This window comes from Homo sapiens, chromosome 9 (genome assembly GCF_000001405.40).
Source record: "Homo sapiens chromosome 9, GRCh38.p14 Primary Assembly".
NCBI classification, from domain to species: Eukaryota; Metazoa; Chordata; class Mammalia; order Primates; family Hominidae; genus Homo; species Homo sapiens.
The window spans coordinates 3,951,604-3,971,481 of NC_000009.12; the positions used below are offsets into that span (position 1 = coordinate 3,951,604).

The following is a 19,878-nucleotide window of genomic DNA, read 5'->3' on the forward strand; positions in this document are numbered from 1 at the left end:
TAAAAAATAAAAAAAGGGACCGACCGGTCCTCCTTAGCTCTAAACTTCAGGGTGAACGGACACTGATTTTAATAAAGGGGGTCAGTTTCAGACTTCTTTTTAGAATGCAGAAGCACTGCAAGTAATTGGTATAATTAGCAGTTTAGAAATGCAAATCAAATTCAAACTTGAAATGACTGAGATGGAAAAGCAACCTCAACAGGGAAAAGAGGAGAGAGAAAGAGAGGAATAAGCATGAACACACACACACACACACACACACACACACACACACACACACACGCACGCACACACCCACTGGCCTTTCTGGATGATTTGAGGTTAGCTGAAGACACAGTAAAGACAGATCTGGGATCCGGCTGATCACTGGCACAATGACTGAACTTTTAGACAAGCGTGGTGAGAGAGAGAGGGGAAACCAGAAACTGCCTAGCCACAGGTACCCCCAGGCCAAGATAATTTGGAGAATGACAATTCACAAGGCAGATCTGGAAAAAAAAATGCCTATTTACAGCTTCTGTTTGCATACTCCCTAGACTTTTGGTGTTTATTATTTTTCTAATTTGAGCAAACCATGTAAGCTTTTGATATCTCAAAAATAAAATCATATGGCCAATAAAATACTTGTTTAGGGGGAAAAAGGTTAGTTCACTGACACAGGTTTACTTCTTGGTCACCTTACTACTGGGAAATCGTAATCCACCTCTCTACTCTTCCGCTTCCTTGTGGCTGATTTGAACCAGAAGCCCCCCCAGAGGCACCACCACCCAGGGGATCCCTGGCACTCTCTGATGTCTGATCCCGGCCAGGCTCACACAATTTGCACCTTCTTTGCACACTGTATTTTTCCTTCCTAATTCTTTACCTATCTGACATTAAGTACAAATTTCAGTAGCCATCTGCTTAACAGCCCACTCCTGGGTTCTGCATCTATTTTGCTCATCTATTTCCAGAGCCTGTCACAGTGCCTGGAACTTGCCAGGTGCTCCATGCGTGAAAATTACAAATTCTGGGATTGATGAATAATAATGGGTCAGATTATCCAAATGTCAAATTCTCAGTAACTGAGAATTTATCAGGTAATTTTTGTATGGAAACAACACATAATATCTGAAACAAGAATATACCAAATGGTATCCTAGCACAGTGCTTCTTGCACTTTAATCTCCTTGGGAGCTCCTTATAAAGCAGACTCTGATTTAGCACATCTGGGATGGGGTCTGGATGCTACATTTCTAAAAAAAACTCCCAACCGATGCTGATGCAGCTGGTCTTCAGGCCACACTTCGTTTAGCAAGGTCCTGGGGGAGCTAACTGATAATCCCAGCCCAGCTTTTCCCTTATGCGAGTCTTATTTATGTTTAATTTAAAAAAATCATATTGTGATTGCTACCTAGGTAAGTTCCTGGTTCAGATATTAATAAAGATGTATTCTTGGGCTGGTGAAGAGTCAAGTCACCACTTCTTGTTTTTTTCTGGGATTTGAGGGATCTGCACTACATATATTGTCTGATAAATTCTGCCTCTCACTAGAAAATTTAGCCATATCTTTAGTACCCCAATGAAAGATTCACTTGCATCAAGGGAATCAGGCAGGGGAAAAAAAATGAACTTGGATTTTCCATAGGGTATTCTTTTTATGATAGAATCTTTTGAGAATATTTGTCTTGTTTTGTTGGTTTTTTGAGAAATTGTTACATATGCAGCACTTAAGTATTTATAATATACAGAAGGTCCCCTTTATCTCTTAGGATTTCTTTCCATTTATGTGATCAATATTGTACAGATCATTCCTTCCAACAGTTTCTAAGCCACTGTGGATAGACTAAAATGGGCTGATGGATATTGATATTTTGATCTTTACACTGACTTCCACATCTCTTAATATTCAATGATTCCCTTGTAAAGTGAGGGTTTGAGTTGTTTCTTCAAACAATGACACAGTAATATAGATGTTTTCTGCAGGCAATATCTGAATATTTCTTTGTACAAATGGTTTCGCCTCATACCACAATGCAAAGAGCTGGTAATGCATGTTTAATGACTTTTCAATGGATTAAAAGTAAGCTGTTGAAAACATATTTTTGATAACAATTCTTTTGTTAGTACTTGCTGTTGGCTCTCCTGGAGGAATATTGCCAATGATAATTAGATTTGCTCTCTCTCTCTCTCTCTCTCTCTCTCTCTCTCTCTATATATATATATATATATATATATATCTTCTCCATCTCACATACACACAGACACAGTCACACACACAAACACATGCACACACATGCATTTGCTGAAAAAGTAAACATGTGGCTTTATGTCTGTAGTACACCAATCAACATATCAAAATCCAAATTTAGAATCCTAATTCACAATACCACGTTTTTTTCCCTTTTTTCTCCCCCTCACTTGGAGTAAATTAAATTCAGCCTTTGTTGGAAGGAAATGTAAAATGTGTTTCACACATATATTTAACACTAATCTGTTCTCCCTACCTTAATTATGCTTTGAATTTCTGTGGGATCTTATATTCCAGGGTCTCAATTTACTTTTATAAATATTCATTGATTTTTCCCATCTCTATTAAGGGTGCTAAAAATTACCTTTCTTTTTGCATTTGGAGAAACTGAGGCACCAGGGAGAAATCTATGGTTTGTCACTTAACACAACTGTAGAGCTGCAAATGTGACCTAGAAGCTCCTCGATAAAGAGGCAACCCTCCTGCCAAAGCTTAGAAATAATGGTACAATGTTCACTGGAGGATTAAATCAGAGCCAGTCTGCTCACATTCTAGGCACAGCTACATTCTCTGTGTTGTCTTTTCCTTAGCACAAAGTGCAGTAACAGAATAGCTGCCCCGTGGTTAAAGAGAAATGATTACAGAAAAGAACAGTTGGAGAAAACAAGGCAAAAGTACTTGGATTTTAGTCAGTGGGAGTCCATCACAGTAACTAATGGGCTGAGAATGTTTCTATTTTTTCACCAAGTAATCCATATGCAAATTTCCTACAGTATTCAATATGCACTTCCAAGCTCAGTAAATGTTTTCTATTCTTTTCTGCTTAGCTCTCTCAGCTTTTTCCAATTAGGCCCTGTTTATTTAGAAAAAAAGAAAATGTCTAAAGGAAGGATTAAGCTCTGTATCTTATGGAGAAAGAATGAATATTAGAAATTCTTTCAGGATCTAGAGGATGCATTCTTTACTCATCCTCCCCGCTGGGATGGGTAATGAGAATAAAGTAAAAGAGGATGAAGCTTTTTACTTCATTTGGTTTGTTCAGCTGAAAACATGCCTTTGACGATCTGGAATTAAATCCAAAATGCATGACAATTCAGACAATGGTGCACATGGAATAAGCCGGTGGATAAAAATAAATAAATAAAAGAGAGATGCGAAAGCTCAAAAGGCCCCACCTGGTGCGCAGAAGTTCTGCAAAAGCAAGGGAATTCACGACGTAGAGGGGACAAGGGGACAGGCTGGGGAGAGAGAGCATAGGCTGGAGTTAGTGGCTGTGCCAAATGAAGACGACCTGGGGAACAGAGCCGTAAATCAGAGAGACGTTGCAAATGCATGGCCTCCCAGGGTAGTAATCAGGGAAGATGGCCCGCATGAGTCAGGCCTTCCTATCTTTAGTCATTGCACCCATGAAGACACGTGGTGTTCTGCCTATCTCTGTTAAGTTTCACATTGAAAGCTGAAGGTCAATTTGTGCTTAAAGAAAAAAGTCAGACAGTTTCTCAACTCAGCTTCAGATCTTTTCTATCTGTTTATTTATTGAAAAAGAGAAAGAGAAATAAAAAATGCCTGAACTTGAGTTCCATGGCAGACAGGATGGAGGTGTCATGGTGCCTGAGAAGGAATTTCTGCCCCTGAGGATGGCCTGCTTCAAGAGGCTGTTGTGACACCACAAGAGATATTATATATGGTATTTTACAAACTTAAAAACATCATACCAATGAAAAAGGGGTCATGAGCAGTAGTTATGGTTGGCGTTGGATTAAAGAACAGGAAATAGCCAAGATGCTTCCAGGATCTTGGAACAGATTCTTACCAAATAGGGTTGTAAAGAACTAAGCATGAAAAGTAGCAAAATGTCAGATTAATTTTCTCTCCCTGCATTTAGGGATTCAAAAGCCATAGAGAATAATAATCGATAAATTATAGTTAAGGATAGACTGTTCACCTAGTGACTGAATAATACACAAAGCTCTTCAGAAATTTTCATGATAAGTTTACTTGCCTAAGAGACCATAAAGAGGAAAAATCTGGGAGAAGAAAGAGTCAATATAATCAGCAATGAGAAGTCTCCCTTTAATGACAGCTATGGGGAACCTGAATGAAGTAGTATATACGTACAAGTGATTGGCTAGGACCATACCATAGACTGCTCCCATAAGTATTTCCTACCACAATTGACCTTCTCCAGATTCAGCAAAAAAAAAAAAAAAAAAAAGAAAGAAAAAAAGAAAAGAATTCTTCATCCGTGGTCAAACTACCTGCTTACATTGTCCATGAAAAAAACTCTTCTGGTTACATTACCTAATGGTCATTTATAAGCTGACTTCCATTCTTTAGTGTACCAGTTGAAAGAAAAAAAAAATCACCTCCAACAGCTTTTTATATTTTAAGTTCCAAGACACAGCAATGCTCTCAAATTTCAGTTTCTCAAGTCTCAAGCTTAGAGAAAAATAAGCTAGGGGAACAAAAGCCTGCCAAAAACCCAGGCTGGCTATTAAAATGTTACAACCAACCGCCATGAGTTTGAGACTATAGATGGTATCCAAATTAACAGAAATGTCCTGGACAGAAGCCTTCAGATCACCATGGAACAGGCTTTGATGCCCTTTGTCTAATTCTGTGGAGACCCAATCTTCAAGCAGAATATTTTTGGCCCATCAAATAAAGGCCTTTCCCAGGAAGCCAAAGGGCTTGGAGACATCACTCTGATTCTCAGCCCATTCTTAAGTAACTCAACACACTGGATCTAACCCCTAGCTTTAGAGTACACCAAAAGACGTTGCATGGAGGGTTTTTTTGTTTTGTTTTGTTTTGTTTTGTTTCCTGTTTTGATCTCACAGACCAGTTGTATTTTTTTCCTCCTTTCATTACCGAAGTAACTCCTTCCATGTGCCAACTTTGAATAATCCTCAAACAGTAATTTCATTACAGAAACAATCTTAGTTGACCAGGCTGTAATGACTTTGGATGTTTCATCTTTATCTGGCTTTTTTCTTTTGCAGCTTCACTGACATGATGAGAGCTCCCCAAAAAGGGCAGGCTTCTGCCTCAACTCTCAGGCACATCAATAACAAGAACAATCTACACTTACAGTCACAAGCTGATTGAGCCCCCATATCTTCCCTGGCAAATCGTCTAAGAGCTCCATCCTTGAGAACTTGCCCTGGAACTCGCAGCATGGCATCAGCAGTTGGAACTAAGACCTGAAAAATCTTTACTAGGCCTCTAAGCCACCTGCCTCCCACAGTGCAGCGGAATGGGAAGAAAATCTCAAAGTGGCTCCCTATCTACAGTCTATATCTGTTCTTTCTTTGAAGGTGTGGCCTAGGGGTCTCAAATGGAAAAGCAGGATAAAATAATCATCAAGCAGTGGGTGTGGAGCCCTTTCCCGAGAGTGTTTTACGCTGCCTACGCATTAAACCTGTTCTTGTTGATGCAGTAATCAATGTATTTGGATTGAATAACACTTCCCCAGTTTGGCTGCCTAGCCGATTAATGTCTTTGCTTTCACCTTTATAATTGGCACATTTAAAAGAAGATTTTAAAAGTTGCTATTGATGTGGCAGTGAGGAGAAGGCACTGAGCCTGCGTGTGCAGGAGGAACAAAGACTCAAACTACAGGGAGTTGCAAGATGAACCACGAGATGGGATTTGCATATTGCAGACTTGTCAACCAAGGGACTTATCAAGCAGCCCTAAGGATATACCACCAGGGCAGTACTGACATAGAAAATTAGATCCTCAGCCCAGAGGCAACACTAGAGAACAGTGATTTTAAATAGAAGTCACATTTAAAACCTTGTTATTAGGCACATACATATCGCATGACTCTGGAAAACAGACAAAGAAATGTTAGCACCAACAGACTTCTTGGTGAGGTTTCTTTCATTGTCATTCCCAGTCCATCTCAGATGCACAAAGGAAAGGGCTCTTTCATGTTTTTCCTTTTGTCTGAAAAATTAAGCATTTATATCATCTGCTCAGATTCACACAAAGACAAACACCGTAGATATTGCAAGGCTGTGCAAAATGCTCTGCCTGAAATGCCCATGTTGCAAATCAGGGAGCTTCGTGGGACTGGCAACCAAGACCCCAAACAAAGAGATTATCATGGTTAATGAATCACATCTTCAGTGAGGGAATTCCGTGGCAGCAAAATGTCACACTCCTAAAGTTCTTTATGAAAAGCTAACTGGTAATGGAAAGCTGTGGCTCCTTCGGTAATCCTAACCCATGACTGACTTTCCACCAGAATGTTTCAACATTGCCTTCCACTCTCTCAGTTCCCTGGAAATGTATTTTGGAGGTAAATGTCTGCCATACACAACTACCAAGCCCTTAGTGAACAACTGCACAATTCAGAGTTTTCATGAATCTTCATGAGCTTTTCCTCCCACATGTATAATAACAATAAGGCTTTTTGAAGATGAGAGGAAGAAAAAAATGCACCATTTTTATTGAGCGTCTAGTATGCATGTGCTATGCCATGGGCCAGACGCTTACATAAAAGTTTCCTACATCGATTCTTTTTTCAAAAAAAGTCATGAATCATTAGAGTTATTTTACTAATAAAGAGGTAAGACTCAAAGAAGTTAAGCAATAATGCCCACAAGTAATGCTAGTTGGGGTTGGAGTCAGACTGATGTACCTACAAATCTCCGCATTCTCCCCACTCTATTCTGCTATTCCAACAGTCTTAAAAGGCTTCCATTCTTAAGTGCAGGGTCCTGTCTTATACTTCATTTAATAAACACGTGTTGGGCTTCTACTCTGGGCTGGACGCTGTGTAGGATCTCAGCACACCAAGATGATTGGGATAGAGTCCTCGCTCTCAGGAAACTCGCCCAGTATTTGGCCAGATGGCCATGTAAACAAACAAATGCAATAGAATGAGATATAATAAAAGATACAAGTAAAGACAGAGACTGTAAATCTGGGATACTATACAGGTGGGTGTCAAAGTATAAATAGGAGTTCAACGTGCAGAGTGGCTGCTTAGGGAAACAGAAATAATACTGGCTAAAGCCCAGAGGTGGAAAAACAGACAACGTGCTGTCGGAGGAAGCCATAAGAGAATAGCAAGAACTTCTTGCTGGTTAACTATGAGGTGAGAAGTCTGGATTAATCTTCAGTAAAGACTATAGGAAAGCCTTGGGCTCTATGCTTTACTTGCCATATTGCTTTGTTTTCAGTAGGCACTCTATGAATATGGGCTTTTGCTGTGGTCTGAATGTTTGTATCCCTGCAAAATGCTTATGTTGAAACCCCACCCTCTAAGGTGATGGTATCAGGAAGTGGGTCCTTTGGGAGGCCACGAGGGCATTCTGCAAGGATTAATGGGCAGAGCCCTCTTGAATGGGATTAATGCCCATATAGAAAGAGACTCCAGAAAGCTAGCTAGCTCCTTCCACCACGTGAGGACACACGGAGTGGGTGCTGTCCATCAGCCAGGAAGTAGGCTCTCACCAGACACTGCATTTGCTGGCACCTTGATATTCGATTTCCCAGCCTCCAAAACTGTAAGAAATACATTTCTGTTGTTTATAAGCCCCCTAGTCTGTGATATTTTTGGTATAGCAGCCTGAGAGGACTAAGGCAGCTTTAAAATGACAATCAGAAAATGTAATTCCTCTGACTAGAATGCTCCACTGGCTTCCTACAGTACCCAAAAGAAACTCCAAATTCCTCTTTGCAGTTGCCCAGCAAGGCCCATGTGATCCAATCTCTGCCACATCTGTGACAAAATCCCTTCCCTCATCCTCACAAGCCCTGCAGCTACTCTTCCTAAAACGCATAAAGCCCTTCCCACCTCAGGGCCTTTCACATGCCATTCCCTGCCCCAACACTTCACCTCTGACTCTTCTCAGGAACATTTCTTCCCCTAGAGTCTCAACTTTATTATCGCTCCCTCCCAAATAGAGTATAGTGACTGTATTTGGAGACAGGGTCTTTCCAGAGGTAACCAAATTAAAATGAGGTCATTAGGGTGGATCCTAATCCAATATGTGTGGTCCCTTTATAGAAAGAGGAAATTTGGGCCGGGAGCCTTGGCTCAAGCCTGTAATCCCAGCACTTTGGGAGGCCGAGGCAGGCGGACCACCTGAGGTCAGGAGTTCAAGACCAGCCTGGCCAACATGGTGAAACCTCATCTCTACTGAAAATACAAAAATTAGCCAGGCATGGTGGTGTGCACCTGTAATCTCAGTTGCAGAAGAATTGCTTGAACCGAGGAGGCGGAGGTTGCAGTGAGCCGAGATGGAGCCACTGCACTCTAGCCTGGGCAACAGAGCAAGACTCCATCTAAAACAAAGAAAGAGGAAATTTGAACACAGAGACACACACAGAGGGAAGATGACGTGAAATTACAGGGAGAACACTGTGTAAATATGAAGATGGCCATCTATAAGCTAAAGAGAGAAGAGCCTGGGGAGCAGATCCTCTTCTCACAGCCCTCAGAAGGATCCCACCCTGCTGACTTCCAATCTCCAGAACTGTGAGACAATAAATTTCTGTTACTTAAGGCACCCAGTTTGTGGTACTTTGTTATGGCAGCCCTAGCAAACTAATTCATCTGCCACATTTTCTATGTATTTCTCCTACAGCATTTGCCACCATCTGGAATTGTCTGGTTTATTTATTACTTGTCTCTTACTATACCTATCCATTAGAATGCAGTCTCCATGCAGGCAGGGGTCTTCTCTTGCTTTGTTCATCATTCTTTGACACTCAGGATGATCCTGGCACATAGTGGGTCCACAGTATGTTGAATAAATTAATGAAAAGATTGTGTTTTGGTGGACCGATAATTGGTAATTATTTATTTTTCATGTACTCATATGAACCTACACTTAGTCACAGGGCCTACCAACCCTGGGCAGATGAGAGAAAACTAGCACGTGGTGAATCAACAGAATTCACCAGTAGTGAGGTCAGCACTACCCACTGGTGCCTTACAAAAATTTTGCTCTTTGCCCAAGTTTTTCATATGAACATAGTTTGAAAGATCCAGTTGTTTCTTTCAATGTCCTGATGTTTCGCCAAACCAAATTCAATTGATTGAAATATAGCCTGCTGATGCTTTTGTAAGGCTAAAGAAGTGGATGGCAACCTTCCACCCCTTTGCTGAATGGTGTAATTGGCCTGCCATAAAGAATTGGGGAATTTTAACACATTCCCCATTTGGCTGAGCTCACCAATTATTCCCCGGTTGCTATCAGAGCCACAGACTTTTCTTCTTTGGGGTCATTAAGCTTGTCAAAACTAATTTGTCACCACAACTGCTGAACCTCATTGCTCTGACAGCAGCACAAGGATCACCCTAAATAGGCCCTTGCATTATAAGAAAGTAAATGGCTCATGAGAACCCGCTGTGCTCTTGCTGTTGCCTTAGAATGGTCTTCTGACCCCAGAAGATGTGGAAACAGTATCCCATAAGTAACACAGGTCACAAAACCTTGTACTAATCATTTTGGTGTTATTAAAAATAAACAAACAAGTAGAATGAATAAATGCTTGGAATACAGGCTTGAATCTGATATGTGACCAAAATATACTATTCTCCAGCTTTGACAAAATTCAAATATATTACATGTTCTCTCCATGCAACCATCTCATGGAAGTCAGGTGGAATTAAACATGTCATAAATCATGGGTCTCTAGTAAGCCAGTCAGAATAACATTCGTTGAAAGTTTCTTGATTGTAAATGCAAAACTATTCCAAAATCAAGGTTGCCAACATTCAATAGGAAGAAGGAAACTTGCTGTGAGGAAATAGCATCCCGTTTTGAAACAGTACTTTGTGGGCTCTCCCATATTGAGAATAGTTACACACCATTTGCTAGAGTTGGCAGGTTTAGTGAGTCTACACACAAGTCTCTGCACAATTAGACAAAGGTAAGAACATATCTATTAATTTCAAAAAGTTGAGGGGATCTTCGCTGACTACCAATCAAGCATCATGAGAAGTTGCATTAACTCTTTTCAGGCTAAAGGGTACCACTTAATACAAAAACCAATGAAACCTTCAAGAAAATTAGTTATGATCACAAAGTATCTTGACATAAACATGGAATATGAAAGTAGCATTACTGGCCCGGCATGGTGGCTCACACCTGTGATCCTAGCACTTTGGGAGGCCGAGGCAGGCGGATTGCTTGGGGTCAGGAGTTTGAAAACACCCTGGGCAAAATAGTGAGATCCTGTCTCTACAAAAAATAATAATAATAAAATTTAAAAAATTAGTCAAGTGTGGTGGTGCACACCTGTAGTCCTAGCTACCTGGGAGGCTGAGGTAGGAGGATGGCTTGAGCCCAGGAGTTTGGGGCTGCCGTGAGCCATGCTGGTGTCACTGCACTTCATCTTGGGGAACAGAGTGAGGCCTTGTTTCAAAAAAAAAGGAGAAGAAAGAAGAAAATAGCAGTATCAAAGAACTTTTGTTCTTTTCTTCCTAAAAAGATGCAACCCTAAATAGAACTGAGTTTAGAATAATTGGCTGCAACTAAGTTTTCTTGGTGGTAGTATAGATTAGACACAATGACACTTTCTTTAAATAATAAAGAGAGGCTAGAAATACCTGGTGCCCACACTCATGCCTCACTAGTTTCTTCCCCAGCAATCTTAATTTTCTCTTTTTAAAGGGGGTACCAGTTCCCTAATGAAAATTAACACTGTAAGTGTACATCTGGCAAAAGGATTAAATCTCTTGACAAAAAGCCAAGTCGTTGGTTGTTTACTTATATTTATTCAAACAAATCTGTAGGCTCATAGTTTGTCACTGATGTCATGCCTTTGAGCAGTTTTTTGTTTGCTTTTTGTTTGAGAAGAGATTACAGGATGGGTTGAGGAGAGTAAATAGGGAGAAACAAGAGAAAGGGGGGAATGTGAAGTCCAGAATTTCATGGGAGTCACAGATTCAGCTGAGTGCTAATGATGTCATTTGGTCTTCACTCTAGCAAAAGGGATCCCCCACCCCGAAACCCTGCACTTTCAGGAGGAGTAAGCTAAAAACTTGGCAAATGGCATAGTAACGAAGTCCTGAATTGGCAGCCAAGATCTGGATGTGAATTTTAAGTTGTTTTCTCCCCAAATGTCCAACAAGATCTGCTGTGATTTAAGGGGGGGGGGGGGAGAGAGATTTATTGAGGTATAAAAAGCCACATTTCAGAGTTGCCAGTGCTAATCAATAACTGGAATTTGACAAAAGACCATGTTAGGCTCAAAAACGAAAAGGACACACATATAAAGGCAAGTATAATTACATGGTATAAATAAGGGAGAGGTTGCCAAAGACTGCATGTTGCCAAGTGCCTCAAATATTCATGTTCTTTGAAAGACTTATTTTTGTGTCTACGGAGGATGAATAAACCTCACTTAAAAAATAAGACTCTTCCCAAACCTTTGCTCATTTCTGGAACTGAACCCTTTTGCAGGTTCTGAAATGTTTAACTTTGTTTTTCATTAATTCGACATGTTCACACATCCCCTGCACTTCTGGAGCTCTGAACAAAACTGGCAGTGAGAGTATGCTGGAATATTGAAGTGACGACTGCTCCCCCAGTATCACTGGCCCTGCTGGAGATGTGCCGCTTGTTCTCATAAGACATTAGGGCAAACTCTGCATCCTTCCGAAGTCTGAGTTATCACAGGAAACTGAAAACTTTTGGTGCTTGGCCAAGTGGCTTCCCATCTCCCAACTGTTAGTGACTCAGCCAGAGTAAAAGTCAGCTCTGTGCACGGGGACCATCCTCTAATGCAGAGACCAAATAAGAGGAAAATTAAGTGCTGAATGATAGAAGTTTCCTCTTTGACTCTCAAAGCAGGGAGGTCATTTAAAAGTTAACTTCTGCTTTGTTCTTCAGCTTTAGAAATGCAGGTAAAGCACAGATTGGGTTCATTGCCAATCCAGATTGATAATCTTATCGTGAGGCTGAAGTGGCGTCAGGCCTCACCGAGACACCAAGGATGATGGTTCCTGGTACAGAAACTGTAAATAAGCCCTTCGGAGACAGTGCTGGCAAGGGCCTTCCACATCACTTGAGTCAGTTTCATGTTTCATTTCTGAATCTGATTGCCATGAAACTACAGTGAACCAGACACTATATTCCACCGGTTAAACTGGACACTTTTTCCAATCTGTGATGGTGCACGCACTGCTTCATGCTGCCATGCATGTTCTGAGTAAACAACTGCGTCCCCGCACACTAACTGGTAGAAGTTCCTGGTAGCTAGAGGTATTTTCCAAACAGACACCGAGAGAGTGCTGGGCTGCAAAGTATCATTGCTGGCCCAAGCCATTAGCTTCAGGGAGAGGATGTATTATGTTTACCACAGATTGATGGGACTAATTTACAGAATCATCATAAATGCTATGTATCTCCTCAGTCTCTCACATAGCCTTTTGTAGACAGAAAGATAAATCTGAAGCTCGGAGCAAGCTCATTTAATTTTCGCCTGACAGCTAGTAATAACAGAAGCATCTTATAAAAGTTATGTTTCAATGAAAAAAATCTATTACTGGGCGTACAAAACACACTTGCATTAATTACATTCTCTTTGCACTGTATTTAACAAAAGGTCAAGACGTTACCCCCCCAAAAAGGAACAAATGAAGAGAATTCTACCTATCTGAAATTTTCTTTTCTAATTTTCCAGGAATTCAATCACACACTCTGTCCTTTAATTAGTTACTACATTTAATTAAATCTGATGTTCTGAAGATGACTAGCCAGAAATATGATCAGACATATAACAAGGATCAATTATTCTCCAGCAGATGATATTTCTATATTTCTAAATTTGCCTGTGTCTAGAACATACCTTGCCTGTCATGCTGGAATACTGGAAAAGAGTAAGACACAGGGACAGAATTTTTTCATATTTTGTCTTCAAAATTGGTATCAGGTGAAATGATTTATAATAGCAAAAGCCAATACCTTTTATTTTCAGTGTTTCTGGGCAGTAGTAGGACATGAGTGTGAGGTAATGCTTTTTAAGGAAATTATGGTGCTCAAAAATTGTAAATAGTGAAGGTTATCTTAAAGAGAAAAGAAATGTTCCTGAACTAAGAAAATCTCCAGCAGGACATGGAGCTAAGGGTATTGTTGCCTGTTTGAAGTCAGATACAAATAACTCTATTCTAAACTTAGTTCCGTTAACTACCAATTGTGTGATCTTGGACATAAAAAAAATAGCAATATGAAATAAAATACTCTGAGGGCCACAGTTTCACAACTGTCATGCTTGAAAATGAAAATAAGAAATCTCTCCTAAGGTTTCTATGGTGCTTAAATGCACACAGGAGGCTGTCAAACAATAGGAGTTTCCTTTACCCTACTTCTTTTCTATTTCTTTCTTTTCTTTTCTTTTTTTTTTTTTTTTTTTGAGACAGAGTCTCGCTCAGTGCCCAGGCTGGAGTGCAGTGGCGTGATCTCGGCTCACTGCAACCTTTGCCTCCCAGGTTCAAGCGATTCTCCTGCCTCAGCCTCCCGAATAGCTGGGACTACAGGCGCGAGCCACCACTCCTGGCTAATTTTTGTACTTTTAGTAGAGAGGGGGTTTCACTATGTTAGTCAGGCTAGTCTGGAACTCTTGACCTCAGGTGATCTGCCCGCCTCAGCCTCCCAAAGCGCTGGGATTACAGGCGTGAGCCACCACGCCCAACGCCTCTTTCCTAATTCTATCACTCTAATCCACTGGTTCATAACTTTGAGTCAAATCCTATGTCTTTATCATCAACAGTCTAAAGAAAAGTTGTAAAAGATTTGTAGGAAGGTTTAAACCTTCTAACCTCCTGACGAAACATGTGCATGGGGAAGGCCAGTGCAGCAGAAGGAGTGGAAGGCGCTGCTTCCAAACCCCGCTATGTTCCTAGTATTTGCAGCAGGCAGTGATCTCTCATTCAGCAAAGACAAGCTGCAGATGTACCAGGTGATGACCCAGAGCTACTTACTGGCCACCAACTCCTCCTCTCTCACTCTGTGCTGCTTATTTAGACCCCAGGAAACGAAGAGAAATGGAGAAAACAAAAGGTAACAGATACACTACAACCTCACATAACTATAACCACTGTGTAGGCACATGTCATTGTTTGTTAAAACCTCGTTCTTCACTGTGTGGTCTTCAAACCAGCTTCAGCATCAGTGTCACCTGAAGCTTAGCAGAATTTCAGAATTCCAGATGCAATTCCTAATGAATGATAATTTTCATTTCAACAGAAAACTCAGGTTAAAAATGTGAAATTGTGGTCTTTTGTTCATTCTTAAACTTTAATCTAGAGTATAAGCTCTAAGAGGGAAGATATCTTCACCTTATTGGAAACTGATATGTTCCTAATGACTAAAACACATGCCTGGCACATACTGAATGCTCACTATATAACTGTTGAATGAATGACTGAATGGGATTGATGAAATCTATGACTGTTGCAACAAAATCCTGGCTTCCTTGGATGCCATTATGGGACATGACTATTGTAATCAGCAGGAGCAAAAAAGTGTATTCTATTAAATGCAGGAAATATTTATTGAGCAAATTCCAAGAATTATGACACTGTAATAAATCAAACAGGTGTTGATAGGCTAAATTTGACTTCAATGATGCAAAGCCTTTTTTTTTTCAGATAATGCTAATTGATGATATAAAAAAAGATGTCACATGAACTGCTTTAAAATTTTACCTCTTTAGGCCAGGCGCGGTGACTCACACCTGTAATCCCAGCACTTTGGGAGGCTGAGGCAGGCCAATCACCTGAGGTCAGGAGTCAAGACCAGCCTGGCCAACATGGTGAAACCCTGTCTCTACTAAAACTACAAAATTAGCCAGGCATGGTGGCGCACGCCTGCAATCCCAGCTACTCAGGAGGCTGAGGCAGGAGAATCACTTAGAACCCGGGAGGTGGTGTGAGCTGAGATCGCGCCACTGCACTCCAGCCTGGGTGACAGACAAAAAAAAAACAAAAAACAAAAAACCCTTAAAACAACTTTTTTAAGGTATAAATTACACACCACAAAATCCACCCAATATAAAAGTGAAATTCAATGATTTTTTAGTAAATTAACTGAGGTCTGCAACTCTCACCACAATCCAGTTTTAGAACATTCTCATCACCCCAGTGAGATTCCTCATATCCATTTACAGTTAATCCTTATTCCTACCCTCAACTCCAGACAATTTCTTTCTGCAAAAAAAAAAAAAAAAAAAAAACAAAAAAACATTTTGAGGATTTCTCAATCAGGTACATGATTGATACTGTACATGCAATTCTTCTTGGACATTTAGTAAAGAAGTCCAGTAAGGATCTCTATCTGCCATACACCTGGCCAATTCATTTTCAGTTACTGTGTACCTGAAAATCATTTTGAAATCAATTTTTCTTTAAAAATTCTCTATCCTGCTGGGCGTGGTGGCCCATGCCTGTAATCCCAGCACTTTGGGAGACCGAGGCGGGCAGATCACCTAAGATCAGGAGTTCAAGACCAGCCTGACTAACATGGTGAAACCCTGTCTCTACTAAAAATAGAAAATTAGCCAGGCGTGGTTGCACGTGCCTGTAGTCCCAGCTACTCAGGAGGCTAAGGCAGGAGAATCACTTGAACCCAGGAGGCAGAGGTTGTAGTGAGCCAAGATCGGGCCATTGCACTCCAGCCTGGGCAATAGAGCGAGACTCCACCACAAAAAAAAGAAAAAGAAAGAAAAGAAAAGAAAGATATTAGTATATGAGGATAAGTATACCAGCATATTTACTGCTTAATGTGTTACAGGGGCAGCAACACAGGACACATGCCTGAATCCTCGGTTATAATACATCAATACTACAGACTGTGATGCAGCTATCAAGAAGAATGTGTTACAGTTACATGAAGTGACCTGGAGAGATATCCATATTATGATGCTAAGAGACAAGTGCAATGTCATGAGAAAGATGGATAATATGATCCCATTTTCTGTAAGGAAAATCATATATGTGTATATATTTGTATGCTTCCACAACCGTAAAGAATGTGCAGAAGGACAGGCACCAAGCTCTTCACACTTATTATTTTAAGGGGGAGAGTGATGGAGGCTCAGGAGGTGAGGAAAATACTTTGTGCATTGTTGTGAGCAAATAATGCTTTGTTGTTTGAAAATAAGACCCCATAAATCATATCTTCAAAAACTGGAATTACATTTTCCATTAACTCAGGTTAACTTTCTCATCCCTTCCTTTTCGCCATAAATCTAAATTCATACAATCTGTCCGAAGGTGTGGGCTAAAATACGATGTGGATTCTTGAGATCTCTGGGTTATAATTTTAGAGTTTTCAAAATTGGATTTCAAATCTATTGTCACTAGTCTAAGGGGGTGAAGACCTTGGCAGCATGATTTTATCATGTAGCAGGAGCAGAATGATCGTCAGCAGGAAGCCTCACCTTTAATGGCTTTCAAAGTTCTTCTAACTGAATGGGACAGTGGAGATACGGTAAATGCTTAGATTCCCAGTGCTGATGATAGGGAGCTTAACAGCACTTGTCTCAATACTCATGGTAGCCTAATTAAATAATACAGAAAGCATATCAGTTAAGCAACAAACAAAATTTTTTTAAAGGAGGTAGCATTTTCAGTATCACCAAATGAAATGCTGACTATATGCATATGAAAAATACATATACGTGTGATAATCCGTCTATACAAAATGCTTAACAGTGATATATTAAGGAAAAATGTTTGATTAAATTATACAAATTATATAAGAAAGCTAAGGTATTGTATTTTTATGTTCTCCATAGGTAAGGTTTTTTTCACCTTTATAATGTTATTCTTGCCAATTTCATCATTTTTAACAGTAAATCTTTTAATTTAAAGTATTATATCCAGGAAACTACATAAATGATAGTACAATTCAGTTAATTGTTATAAATTGAAGAACTCATGTAACCACCATAGATCAAGTAATAGTACATTTCATTATTACTCCTAAAAGAAATTCAATCTTTAATTCTGGAAAAGAAAGTCTGAATTACCAAATACATTTGGTACATTTAGGGAGTTACTTCATCCACTGGGGTTTAGACTGGACTGTCTGGGTAAAGATCTAACTATAAGTGAGTGAGCAAATTTAAATATGACTCCACAGAGTCTAGGGACAAGACACCCTTTGCAAAAGTGTGTTAGGCTCCATCAAAACGGCTTGGCTTTTTTTCCATTGTGTCACAGAAGCAATTGTCAGGACCAATGACTTGTCCGTGTTTGAGTCACAGAACTAAAGCCAAAGCCTTGACTCACCTCTAGGTTCATTTTTCCCCTTGTCTGCTTTGTCACCAAGGTGTAGTGTGATGAAATGCATATGACCTGGCAAACTGAACAATGAGCCTCACTGTTCGAAGAAGGTAAAACAGACGATTAATTTGTCAGCACAAAGTGAAGATTCAGAAGGCTGAAATATCAATCTCCTTTTCAGTCTATTATTCTTTCTTTGAATAAAAGGTTGCTTATAATTCACATTAGGTTAGAAATGCAGAAGTTCAAAAGCGAGCAAACCTTGTGCTATACGTTCCCTACACCTCACAGGAAATATCTCCAAAGAAGAAGAGGTCTGCGGAAAGGATTTACTAAGGCCCAATGTTTCCACTCAAAGTAGACCTTCTTTTGGTCTTGCACATATCAGATACATAGCCACTTGGTGACTTGATCAGAACTGATACGAAGTAATCAAGATCAATTTCATGAAAGCAGAGATCTCAGGAATATGGACCATGAAGTGATTGTTGTTTATAGTAATCAGCACCTTCAGCTGGGCTCAAGATTCCAAAAGCCCAGGATAGCTCTTTGATTCTTCTGGAGATCTTCTTTTCCCAACCAAATACAGCCACTGTGAAGAACTCAGCTTGCTGTGTATGAAGCTACCAAAATAACTTGGGTCCCTTGTTTCTGAGTTCCATGACCAAGCTTGTCAGAAGCCCCAGATGGTTGCTTTCAGTCACTCCTAATGACAGGAAAGCTAGGCAATCCAGCACCTCTGTCCAGAAACTGAGCAAAATTCAAAAAGTGGCATTTTCACAGTATACTTTCAGGGAAGGAAGCTAGGTGAGGGGCTTTAGATCAATTCTGTTATTTCCTGTTTCAGGGGCAAATCTTGCAACTTGGTGGACAAATGCTACCTATGATAAAATATTTTATTTAGAATTGTACAGTCATTTCATGTTCCAAGTGAGTAACGTTCACTGCATTCACACACAACCAGGAAGTCAGTAATTTAGTGTTAGCTTTCGTCTCTGCCTAAATGCAAAAGTCTGGCACATAAGATAATTTGAAAACAATTATTAAGGGTGGTTTTCAGAGCTGGTACACACATATAACCAGCAAATATCTGGCACAGATCCTTCTACTTTAGCTCAGAGATTTCCTAAAGAGGACAGTAAACAAGACCCTCTCTGTTTCACTGATGCTAGTAAAGGGATTAAAATAGTCATAAACAAGATTTTTTAATGGTGGAAAAACTCAAAAGCAATGTAATATTACAGTCCTTATATTATGAGAAGATGAATCGTGTTGATTATTTTTTGACAGAAGACTCTTGATAATTCATGGAACAGGAAGTCCAAAATGTAATTTCTTTCCTAGACAATCTGGGCAAACAAATGCATTATTTGTAGAAGAAATTTTTATTTTGTCAACCTAAAAGTTTGCCATAGACATCTTCTTTAAAAATACAGAAATAAGAGACTACCAGTGTTACCTTGCCCCTGAACAAGGCCCAGGATGCTGCTAATGCACAGGACAGCCCTCATAACAAAGAACTATCTGGCTGAAAATATTAGTAATGTAGAGGTTGAGAAGCCCTATCCTATAGCATGGAGTTGCAGGATTATTCAGCAGAGCAGAAACTGAGATTAAGTTGATCATACACACAAACCTCTCACTCAGCACAGTTCAATTTCTTCTAAACTTTGGAGAACAATTTACCAAGTAAATATCCTAGTGTGAAGCTGGCAATTGAAGAGAGAAGGATGAGAAGATGAGTATTCCCAAAGTTAAACAATGAGTTCAAAGCAGGTTCAGAGGCACAACATTGGCTGTATTTGCCCTGCTATATGACTTTAGTATTCTGAGGGGAAATAAAAAAAGGATGGGGAAGAAGAAATGGAAGGAAAAGAGGGAGAAAGGGATGGAATGGAGAAAGGGAGGGAGGGACGGAGAGAAGGAAGGAAGGGAGGATCGATCAAAGGAAAGAAGGAAGGATCGAAGGAAGGAAGGAAGGATTAATTGAAGGAAGGAAGGAAGGATAGATCGAAGGAAGGAAGGAAGGATCGAAGGAAGGAAGGAAGGAAGGGAGCCTTATGCTTTCCATCACCATCAAAGAATGGAGCAATGGCAAGATAGCCATGTCACCCACCCCTCTCAAAGTGGAGAACATTTGGAGCTCATTTTAGACCTCCTGTCCACATGAAGACACTACACACTTTCTGCCTATGTCACATCAGAAGGAGCTTGAGGCTGAATTCTATTTTATGCTTTAATGGTGTCACTGGCACAAAGCAGCCCTTACTCGGTTGAGGGAAAAGTAACCCAGCCTTAAAAGAAAAAGTCATTATCTGATCCCTATGCAGTCATCCCTTATACCTAAAAATGGTATTTTTCAGAAATGAGAAAATTCTAAATAAGCCATTGGGGG

At 40.1% G+C, this 19,878-nt stretch overlaps 1 protein-coding gene across 12 annotated transcripts in view, besides 2 other annotated features; it reads right to left on the reverse strand.

Moving 5' to 3' along the window:
• Nucleotides 1–19,878, reverse strand: part of GLIS3 (GLIS family zinc finger 3) — a 666,339-nt gene that overhangs the window by 127,477 nt on the left and 518,984 nt on the right. The window lies entirely within an intron of this gene.
• Nucleotides 2,861–3,381: an enhancer, noted in NCBI's record as "NANOG hESC enhancer chr9:3954464-3954984 (GRCh37/hg19 assembly coordinates)". NCBI's record gives its function as "activates a minimal SCP1, AML or CMV promoter by ChIP-STARR-seq in primed H9 embryonic stem cells {active_cell/tissue: H9 hESC(primed)}" and the evidence as "EXISTENCE:reporter gene assay evidence [ECO:0000049][PMID:30033119]".
• Nucleotides 16,725–17,924: an enhancer, noted in NCBI's record as "MED14-independent group 3 enhancer chr9:3968328-3969527 (GRCh37/hg19 assembly coordinates)". NCBI's record gives its function as "activates an origin of replication core promoter dependent on BRD2, BRD4, P300/CBP and CDK7 cofactors, and independent of MED14, by STARR-seq in HCT116 cells {active_cell/tissue: HCT116}" and the evidence as "EXISTENCE:reporter gene assay evidence [ECO:0000049][PMID:35650434]".